General features: G+C 43.7%; 1 protein-coding gene across 3 annotated transcripts in view, besides 1 other annotated feature; it reads right to left on the reverse strand.

Moving 5' to 3' along the window:
* Positions 1-11,348, reverse strand: part of SLIT3 (slit guidance ligand 3) — a 639,400-nt gene that overhangs the window by 338,569 nt on the left and 289,483 nt on the right. The gene's annotated exons all lie outside the window — the stretch shown is intronic.
* Positions 6,322-7,521: an enhancer, noted in NCBI's record as "MED14-independent group 3 enhancer chr5:168433635-168434834 (GRCh37/hg19 assembly coordinates)". NCBI's record gives its function as "activates an origin of replication core promoter dependent on BRD2, BRD4, P300/CBP and CDK7 cofactors, and independent of MED14, by STARR-seq in HCT116 cells {active_cell/tissue: HCT116}" and the evidence as "EXISTENCE:reporter gene assay evidence [ECO:0000049][PMID:35650434]".

The following is an 11,348-nucleotide window of genomic DNA, read 5'->3' on the forward strand; positions in this document are numbered from 1 at the left end:
TTGAACCTGGGAGGCAGAGGTTGCAGTGAGCTGAGATCACACCACTGCACTCCAGCCTGGGTGACAAAAGCAAAACTCCATCTCAAAAAAAAAAAAAAAAAAAAAAAAAGATTTGTAAAGGATATTAACGTAATCTTTTCTGAAATGGAAAGTTCAGTTGCATCAACGCTTAAGCCTACAATGAAGAATTACTCAAAGAGAAGAACAATAAAAAACTCACAGAAAGTGTTCAATAACCTAAAAACAATAATCTTATGTAAAACAAAAATTTTACATAAGAACTCATAACAAAAACTTAAGGGTGTTAGAAGTCAGAGCATGACGTTAATAATATGATACAGAGTTGAACGTGATAGATCTGGTCAGTATCAAACTCACTGAAGAATGGTCAGAAATTACCTTCACACAAACAGCAACAGAAAGAAAGATACACGGCTGACAGTTATTAGAGCTCTGAGCATACAGTAAGCATCTGATAAATACTGATGGGCTGGCTATTCAATTACAACTGACCCGACAACCTATTCTTGAAGCATTATTTAATTTATACTAGATGTTCTTTTTTGGGGTTTTCAGTTCTAAAATCTCTCTCAAATAACTTTTCCTGCCAAGCGGTTATTTGAGTTGCGTCGGAAAGCTTTCTTAGTGAATTCTGCACTGAATGGCTCCCCTGGAAGAAGTTTATTACTTTGTCATCTTATTTGTTAGGAAAGTTGTGATATGACAGAGGGACATAAATAATCCCATTCAATGGGAAAAAGATGCTTTCTGCAAATCCATAGTACTTTTCACATTTCAAACCACTTTCACATTTATCCAAGTGCTTTGCTATTTTTATAAATGAGCATCTGATGAGGATGAAATGAAAAAAAATTCTCAGCCAACCCTTTCAGCCCTTTCTGAGGAAACTTCTCACTTCCAGCTCATCGCCACTGTCCGTATTTTGAACCTGTCTTGTCTGCCTTATCCTGAGAAAAATGAAAAGTTCTCAAACCACCCCCACATATTAATTTGCCATCAACTTTTCCTACTAAGTACTTAAAATTCACTTTCTGCTTGAAATGAAGGGAGAGGCACCTATCTTTTGAGTTCGGCTTGAACAATAAAAATATTTAGAATAAAAAAACACCAAATAATGACAAGAAGTACAGGCACATAGGCGGGTCACGTCTTTTTTTTCCCTCCTTAAGTGTTACAATGGAACATTTTGACTTGTTATGAGAGTGGGAATGAGAAAGTGAAATAGACTAGAAACAGACCAATTTCATTTTTCTGTCAGCATCTCATGACAGGCCAAAGATAAACCTCATAAACTGTGAAAAATGAACAATTCTTGGTTTTGATAACCTAAGCTGGGATGAGAACCAAGGAATTAATATCTCTGGAACCCAGGAGTTTATCTCCCTTGTTTTTCAGTGATTAATCTCAAACTAATCCCATTTTTGTCAACAATTTAAACAAGCCAAAAGAAAAGTTTTAGACTCCTGGCTATAGCTCCTCTCTTAGCCTACCCTTCCTGGTGCCAAGTGAAGTGGTAATTAACCAAAGTCTCCCTCCTTTTTTTTTCCCCTTGACATACAGAATTGCAGGGCAGCAGTACTCCAGAGAAGGGAGACATTGGTGGGAACTGCAAACGGTAGGTTTTTAGAGTAGGGAGAGGAGGGGACTCAAAAGAGGAATAGGGAGCATGGGGGTATGAAGGTAATTATAGGAAAAAGCAATGTGGCTGGTGTGGTGGTTCACTCCTGTAATCACAGCACTTTGAGAGGCCGAGGCAGGCAGATCACCTGAGGTCAGGAGTTCGGGAACAGCCTGGTGAACATGGTGAAACCCCATTTCTACTAAAAATAAAAATAAATTAAAAATTAATCAGGCATGGTGGTGTGTGCTTGTACTTCCGGCTACTAGGGAGGCTAAGGCAGAAGAATCACTTGAACTGGGAGGTGGAGGTTGCAGTGAGCCAGGATGCACTCCACTGCACTCCAGCCTGAGCAACAGAACGAGACTCTGTCTCAAAAAAAAAAAAAAAAAAAAAAAAAAAAAAAAAGAAAAAAAGAAAAAGCAATGGGGCATCAATGAGTACAGATGGGGCAGATGGGGAGATTTGGAGCAGACAATGAAAAGAATGGTCTGGGAAGTGAAGAGTTTCAGAACTAGGAAATAGTGGAGATGACATCAGGTGGGAGGATGGACTTGCAAACCCAGTTAGAGAGTGTGGACAGAATGTGATGGCCACAGGGAGCCATTGTGTAGTCTAGAGCAGGAAAGTCACGTGGAGTGAGTGAGTATGGGAATGGCAATGGTGTGCAGGCAACCAGTGGAAGAGACTAGAAACAGGGGCTCTAATGTAGAAACATCTCAGTATTTGGGACAAGAGGGGATGAGGACTACATTTTTCCGTGTTTTTCTTCCTTGATCAAAGTATTTCCCTAACTTTAGCAGTCTCTTCTCACTATTAGCTAATTTTGCCATAGAGGCACAAAACTTGTACTACTGTTTACTTGTTTTACCTTATCCATTAATGACTCTTATTTAAACATCTGTTTTATCCTCACCTTGATCTGCAATGTCTGTGAAATTACAAACTTGGTATATTAGTTACATATAGGTTTTAACTGTATGAAAACAAGTATATGCCTAGTAAAAGAAGAAGTTTGTCTGAATCTTACTTAAAATCATCTCAAACTACCAGTGGGGCACTTATTCTTTGGGGGAAGGCTGCCTTCGCTCACAGGTTCTTAAGCTTACTGGGGTCATAGATTCCTTTGTTTACCTACTAAATCCATTAGAAAGGATTTGCAAATGGCACTCATGATATTACCAGTATGTATCTACATATGTATGCAGTAAAATCTAGTCCTTTTTTCCTAGAATACTCAGTGTGTCTGAGCACGCACAAACAAACTTTGCATATCATTTCAAGTTGTCACTATTCCTTGGATTAAAACTCTTTTGACCCATCTGAGGCTTGCAGAATATGGGCCCTAGCTTCTGGGCAGACCAGGGCACTCAGTACATCTTCCCAAAGCTCATGTGGCCTTGAAGTCCTACTGAGTGTCTGCAGTACCCTCTGTGGGAGTCTGACCCTGCTCAGCTTCTAGAATGTCCTGTGGTGAATTCCATTGCTAACGTCTCCTCCGATACCCTAGTTCTTTTCAGAGGCTCCTACCAGAAAATTGACACGAGGAAACTCTATGGCATTGGTCTGCAGGGGCCAGAGTGGCCGTGAACACAGATGTGAACACAGACGTGAACACAGGCTCAGGGCAGAAGCTGAAGGAGTGGGCTGTGTATTTGTGCCTAGTCTCCCAGACTTTTCTGAGAGAAGAGTTTCGTCTCACCCATGGCCTGCAATTGCCCTGTCAAATCAATTTGGGAGACTATAAAGATATAAGAGCTGAACAGCACCAACAGGGGACTCTCTTTTTTTCCTTAAGGCTTCTTGCCAGATATAACAAGAATAAATATGAAATGGCTTCATATTCCAAGCATGAACTAATGTTGGGGTTGTGGCTGATAAGTAAGGAACAGCTAAACAGGCTTTGACATGGTGGCTCTGGAGGGGGCAGCGTTCTCGCTGGAAGTGGGGATGTGGGGATTTATCAGGCCTGTTGTGGAGTGAGCTGTCTGGAAGAGGTTCCTCTTCCATAAAAAACCCAGGCCCCTGCTGACTGATTCTCACGTTAGGAAAACATTGGTAAATCATCAGCATAATCCAAGAATTATTCCCTTCCTCTACTCTGCGCATGAAGGCCCTTCTTTTCTTATCTGTTTTTAATTTTCTTCATGGGTGCTGTTCCTAGTCCATTAATTGAAAGGACTTTTGGCTAGAAGCCCACGACTGTTTTGGGAAAAAAAAAACACACACACCAAAAAACAGAACAACACGAAACCCGAAGGGCTGATATTCTGTGCATCTCAGAGAAATAAAAGTGGATGGGAATGGCTCCTTCGGGAGTCCCTGCTGGGTTCGGTTCTGCCATGCCCAGAGGCACAGGTAGGGGGAACTGGCTGCCTGGACATCTTCCCCCAGCTGGGCTGCCAGGGTAAATCACTGGCTTTCAGAATGTCCTCTGGAGAAAATAAGGTCATTACAAGGCTTTTAAGATCAACCATAATAAACTCCCTCCAATTTGTTTTTCTTCAGCTGCTTTTACTGAGCCCTCTGGGCCTTCCTCCAAGCGCTGAGTATGATACTGCTCAGCGTGATGCAGAGAGGAGAGAAGGGGCTTTGGACTCAGCTCAACAGACCTGAGTGAAAATTCTGCCTCTGCGTCTCCCTAGCTACGTAGCTTTGGGACTACAGGTAACCCCTCTGCTATGAACTGCATGTCTGTGTCCAACTAAAATTCATGTTTGAAAGCCTAACCACCAAGACGATGGTATTTGGAGGTGGAGCCTTTGGGAAGGAATTAGGTATAGATGAGGTCATGAAGATGGAATCTTCATGATGGATGAATTCCCTTATAGGAAGGGTCCAGAGAGCTTGTTTTCTCTAGGCCATGTGACGATACAGCTAGAAGGCAGCTGCATGCCAGGAAGAAGGCCCTCCCCAGAATCTGATCATGCTGGCACCCTGACCTTGAACCTCCTAGTCTCCAGAACTGTGAAAAATAAGTGTCTGCTGTCTAGGCCACCCAGTTTATGGTACAGGCGCACGTTGTTTTATTGAGCTTTCTTCTTTTTTACAAATTGAGGGTTTGTGGCAACCTGCATCAAGCAAGTCTATTGGTGTCATGTTTTCCAACAGCAGGAATACTTCGTGTTTCTGTGTCCGTATTTTTAAGCAATAAAGTATTTTTTATTAAGTTATGCAGATTGTTTTTAAAACATAATGCTGTTACAAAATAGACTATGGAACAGTGTAAGCATAACTTTTATATGAACTGGGAAACTAAAAAATTTGTGTAATTCACTTTATTGCGATACTCACTTTGTTTGCAGTGGTCTGAAATGGAACCCATAATATCCCCCAGGTAGGCCTATATTCTGTGACAGTAGCCTGAGCTGACTACAACAGCCTCTGAGCTTCAGTTTTTGTAAAACAGAGAATCTAACGTCCGCATTATGGAGTGGCTACAAACACTTGAGAGATGATGCATGTAACATGTATAGGAGAGTTCCTGGCCCATGGCAAGGTGAACGGTAAACATTATAACCAGTGTGGTTGCTATGATCATCAGCAACACCACCAGCATCTTCCCTGATGACCTGGGCCAAGGTTGAATGAGAATGGAGACAATACATTCAACTCAGTTTAACACCATTTGGAAAGGATTTGCAAATGACACTCATGATATTACCAGTATGTATATCCCTACTTTCATCTTTCAGCTACATAATCAGGATATAGCAAAGGACACAGCTGTAATATTCATTCATTCGACAAATATTTACTATGTTCCAGACACTTTATACTAGAGTTTCAGGTACAGCAGCAAGCAGGGCAGACATCATACTTGCCTTGCTGGTGAGTACTTGTGCCTTTGGCACTCTGCGCCTTTGGAGCTCTGGGGGAAACGCAGCGCAAAAGGCTTCAAAGGCAACCTATGTTATTGCTCAAGGTTGGTGTTGCAAACAAACAGCAGTGCATAGAAGTCAGCAGGGCCATAGGAACTTCAAGTTTATACTTTCCCCAAAATGCCCATAGAAAATTCAACAGGTATTTGCTGTCGAATCTTCAACAGGCAATTCCTCAGTGCCAGGCACTGTGCTAGGCCCTTGTCCTTGTGGTGGACAAGGCAGGCCCAGTTCCAGCCTTGCAAGGCCTCATAATCTAAGTGAAAGGGGACACAGACAAGAAAAAAATCATCCTACCAAGTGGTAATGCCTGGTCCCCAAGGCCACTGCTGTCTTACTGTAATTCAGGGCCTTGCAGCGTAACTACCAACCAGCCTGGCCATCCTCTGAATTTGGGTATATGGTAAACCTTAAAGCATTCTCTTCTCTAATCATCTATTTTATTTATAGGATAATACAAAAAGCAAAAAATTAGCTTCTTCACCTAAGAGATGCGACAATGAGAGAGTTGGCAGATCTGGATTGTATTCTACTGTCCATATGGCTGGTTCCTTCATCCCTTAACAACACGACTCCCTGTGGAGCCATGAGGAATCTACCCCTCCCTTCCCTCTTTCTTCACTATTCCCCAGCCTCCCACATTACACACAAGTTGTGGTCTGGGACCAAGAGGGTTTTGTTTTTTAAACAGTTAAATCTTCCATTGCAGACCAATTAAAATTTAAAGATTTTCTCTCTCTTTCCCCCTCTTCTCTCTCTCTCTCTCTCTCTCTCTCTCACACACACACACACACACACACACAACTCTCCAAGCACAAAGAGCTGACAACAACCTAGTGTTTACTATTAGAAACAGGATTTGAAAATTCAAAGAAAGAAAAGTTAATTCTTCACCTCCATTTGTCTTTTCCTCCCCAAAGTTCCCTAAATGAGAGACTGCTTTACCAGGAAGCCTGAGTGCCTCCCACCCAACCGTTCCTGTTGCTGGACATGAGAGTCGAGCCCCTTGGCCTTTTTGCAGAGTGTCTGGATACACATACATGGTGCCTGAGGCATGCCCTGGGCACTTGGTAAGCCAGGCTACTCTCATCACGCAGCCCTGCCCACCCCACCCCCCAACTGCAACCTGTAATGTGGTTAGGATCCGTGTCCCCACCCAAGTCTCATTTCAAATTGTAATCCCCAGGGGTCAAGGGAGGGACCTGGTGGGAGGTGACTGGATCATGGGGGCGGTTTACCCCATGCTGTTCTCGTGATAGTGAGTGAGTTCTCACAAAAGCTGATGGTTTTATAGGGCAGTTTCCCCTGCTCTTCTCTCTCCTGCCACCTTGTGAAGAAGGTCCCTGCTTCCCCTTCTGCTATGATTGTAAGTTTCCTGAGGCCTCCTCAGCCATGTGAAACTGTGACTCAAATAAATTTTTTTCCTTTATAAATGACCCAGTCTCAGGTATGTCTTTAAAGCAGTGTGAAAACAGACTAATACAACCTGTATACTGCCAAGTCTCAGTATCTTGGATGTTTTCCTAGTCTGTCATCATGACTCATTGACAATTCCAGGGGCTCTGCCCTGATCACCAAGGATGAAGGGGTGGAACATCAGGCAGTCCCTTTGGACCCAACCTTATTCTACGTGCTTTTTGATCCAAAACGAATAGATGTTAAAATAAGATTAGGTTGAAAGTGTCTAGGAATCTCTGGATAGGTAAGTAGTTTGCATGACACATACCTATGTGTGTGTTAAGTGTGTATTTTGGGTGTATAGTCTGCATGTGTTTGCCTACATACACTGCAGCCTGTCTGCTTCACTGAATATACACTGACTTGCTCTGCTAGAGTTTTAACTATCTTCACTTTCTCCAAGTAGAAAGCCCCTCTTAATAGCGTTTCTTCCCGAGAGTAATCAGAACTAAAGATGGCCTTTAACTAATGCAGTTATAATGCAGGTACACACATACACACCTTTTGCCTTTTGAAATTGGGCTCCCCATGACTTCTCTTGCTGAAGCACTCAGGGCCAAAAAAGTTATCGCTAGATATTAATTTAGACATTAATCTTCCCTGTGAATTTTCCTTTTCCCTGTTGCCTTATAGGACACCAAACAGAGATCTCCTTGCAAAGCAGCCAGCCTGCCTGGAGGTCTGGTCCTGAGCTTTGTGGAGCCCCATCCCTGGAGAACCGGACACTTTCTTTTGGTATTACCAGGCAGAGGGCCATTGTTCTGCCATGATGTAAGATAGACTCCCAGCTCTATGTGGCTCTTGGTGAACTAATGATAATTTTATTCTTCTCTTGGGTAAAGTTCACACAAGGAAAGATGAAGATTAAAGGCAAAAATAAGATCAATTCTTTGCAATGAAAAGAAATCATCTCTGGGAGGATGTGAGTTAGAGAAAACATTGGGTCTCATAGAAAAGGGATCTCTAGACTCATGAAAAAAAGCAAATGATTCCTGTGGGCAGTCATCTTTGGGTCACCACATAATCTGTGGCCATGAAGCTGCAAGGCTGGGAGGAGGCTCCAAGACAAGGGCCTGACTTCCCTAGCCATGACGGGCCTGACTTCCCTAGCCATGAAGAGAAGCACAGGGGTTTGGAGAAGAGGCCATAGCAATAGCTAGAGCTGGCATCAGGAAGGAGCCAGAGAAATCCACAGACCTCTTGGGCAGGTGGGCCCAGACGAGATAAGACCTGCAGTCCCGGCTAGCTCCACCTTTCTATTGAGAAAGAGGGGCTCCCGGCTCAGCTACTGACTTCCCTTGTGAGTCTGGATGAGCCACACGGTCTCTCTGTGTCTCACCATCTGTTTTGTTGTTGCTGCTGCTGTTGTTGTTTTTTTTTAACTTTTTAATAAAAATAGAGACAGGGTCTCCGTATGTTGCCCAGGCTGATCTCAAACTTCTGGACTCCAGTGATCCTCCTGCCTTGCATCCTCTTTTTCAAATGGAAAGTATTCCTGCCCTTCCTTTGCCTCACAGATAAACTATTCTGAAAGCAATAATAGCAAACATTCACTAAGCCCTTACTATTTTCCAGGTACTGCAGCAAACACTTGAGCACATTTTCTCACATAACCCCTCCAACTACCTCATGATGAATGTATTTATGTGCTGTCATTATTTGCATTGAACTGATGAAGAAACTGGAGTTCAGAGATTAAGTAATTTGTGTGAGGTCACACAGCTGGTCGGGCTGGGATTTGAACCAAGGCAGCTTGACCTCTCTGCACCCAAGGTAACATTTCAATATGAGCCAAAATTACAATTTTTTTTTAAAAGAGAAACCAGGAAAGGTTAATTAGGAGGAAGCAATTATCTTAGAGCACAAAGCAAGTGCACATGGTCCTTGAAAGCTATTAAACTAGAAGATGGTTTTCCTCCTCTTGAAACTCCCCTTCTACATCCATGTCCTCCCCTGCACCTTTAGAGACCAACAACCTGCTAATTCGCTTCTCAGATCCCACATAGCTGTGTCTCTGGGTGACCGTAACTTGGGTGAGTCAGCAGACAATCTCTGCAAGGCTCTCAGAAAGATGTCATTAGTGAGAAATGATGCCAAATGTCACATGTAGGAGTCTGTTTGCAAACAGGCTCTTCCCTCCTCGCCGAAAAGCAAGCACGCTGTGTAGTCACCAGCTCTTTCCAGGTCAACTGTCTGCACCAGGCCCCCTGGCCCCACCCAGACACCCATGAAGAACAAACCTGTAGTAAACCAGGGTTGTCATATTTGGTCTGTCGTTATCACTGAGAGAAGCTACCTTTCCTAAAAGGGGCTTAGGTTACAGATAGTGACAGCCTCATAGCTGATTAATGCTACATCCTAACGTCATGTTAAGTAGCTGCGTGCCACCAAAACAAGTTCATTGAGCATTCACTGAGCACTTACTTCAGGTAAGACATCAGACATGATAAAGTATATGCTTATCCCTCCCAGAATTATAAATGTAGGGCGGGAAAGGACTGAGAAAGGAACACTGTAATATAGGGTATAATTAAATACATGCTAGATGAACATAATTTTAATGATGGCTGGAACATATTTTGAACTATTAATTTATATTTATTTTTCATCTATTTTCTGTTCTTGTTCCTCAAGCAAGTAGCCAATCAGCCTTGCCTTCACTGCCTCAGGGATGATAACTTGTAAAACAGAAAGGAAAAGTAGCATGCAAGACTCCCTGGCTTTGAAATGCCAAAAGCTGTTGTCCAGAGGTGAACCAATCGAGTTTTACAGGAGGAAGGAGGCAAACGAGGGTTTGTGGGAAAAAGCATAGCTGGGTGCTTTGCAAAGGGGACCTAGTGTCATGAATTTTGTCTGAACAAGACCCTAAAAAAGTGGCGGTGTGGAATGTTTAGGCAAACACAGGACCAGAGGTGATTTGGCAGCAACTTCTCAGGTACCCAGTGTGACCACAGAGAGTTGCTAGCCCTAACAATGCCAGATGAACAGCGATAAGGGGAAGGGGCAATCCAGAGTTAACTTGCTTGGTTGCTCCTTTATTTTAATGTTGCCCAAGTCCCTAGAACTATGGCCCAGACTGAGGGTGGAACTGAAGCGATTTTGACCATGGTTTCCTGGATGGTGGCCTGGAAGGGTAAGGCTAAAGTTGCCAGTGAATTACAGGATGCCCTGTACTGGGTGTCCTGTATTTTTATTTGCTAAATCTGGCAGCCCTAGATAGATCATGAAACAGAAATTAAGTTGACAAAATGATGTGGACTAAAACTCATACCTGAGTTTGTAAAACTCAGTCTGTGGAATGAGATTCATCCCTATCAGAAAATAATGCCTTTTGGTCAGGTGTGGTGGCTCATGCCTGTAATCCTAGCACTTTGGGAGGCTGAGGTGGGCAGACTGCCTGAGCTCAGGAGTTCGAGACCAGCCTGGGCAACATGGCGAAACCCCGTCACTACCAAAATACAAAACAATTAGCCAGGCGTGGCGGCATATGCCTGCAGTCCCAGCTACTTGGGAGGCTGAGGCAGGAGAATTGCTTGAACCCAGGAGGCGGAGGCAGAGGGTGCAGTGAGCCGAGATCGCGCCACTGCACTCCAGCCTGGGCGACAGAGTGAGACTCTGTTTCCAAAAAAAAAAAAAAAAGCCTTTTATTTTTAGAGTGCTTTACAGTATGAAGCCCCTTCACATGGACTATGTCATCTGATTCTTCCCATAACCTACTGAGATGAGAAATGTGGGTCTAATTATTTCCAGAAAGAAGAGCAGGGCTCAGGGAAGCTAAGCCCACTGAAGACTCTAAGTCTATAAGGGCCGAAGCTATAACCAACACCTGCTTCAGCCTCCAGTCCAGCTCTGCTCCTGGACCCTGAATTGCTTCTGAGTCCCAGCCTGGCCCAGGCTCCAGCATCCCAGAAATGACATCACCGAGTTCTGTTCCAAAATGGCTCTTAGAAGCCTTTGTGAACCCTGGAGTTTTTGGCGTGTCCGACTCCACATTACCACTCTCCAGTGTGTAAAAAAGCCAGAACTATGAAAAGATTTAATTTGGAGAGGTGACCATAGTAAGTCTCCACTGCTTGTGGCTTCTAGGCAAAATTGTAATAGGTCTAGCTACTAAAGCTTTGGTTTATCATCTTCCAGGCCAGGTGACACCCATCTACAAATAGGAAGATGGCTTCATTCCTCCGCGGCTCAATGAGGACAGTGTGGATTTATGGAGGTGATTTATGGAGAAGAGAGCCGTGCAAAGAATGAGGCCAGACTATCAGAGGTCCCTTGTAGACCCCCGAGGAGGAAGGCTGAGGAATGCACTGCCCAGCACACTCAAGACAGTCATTTGCTGGGGGAGAGGAGGGGCCTGCTCTGTCAGAGCT

The sequence above is a fragment of the Homo sapiens genome, chromosome 5 (genome assembly GCF_000001405.40).
Source record: "Homo sapiens chromosome 5, GRCh38.p14 Primary Assembly".
Classification (NCBI taxonomy): domain Eukaryota; kingdom Metazoa; phylum Chordata; class Mammalia; order Primates; family Hominidae; genus Homo; species Homo sapiens.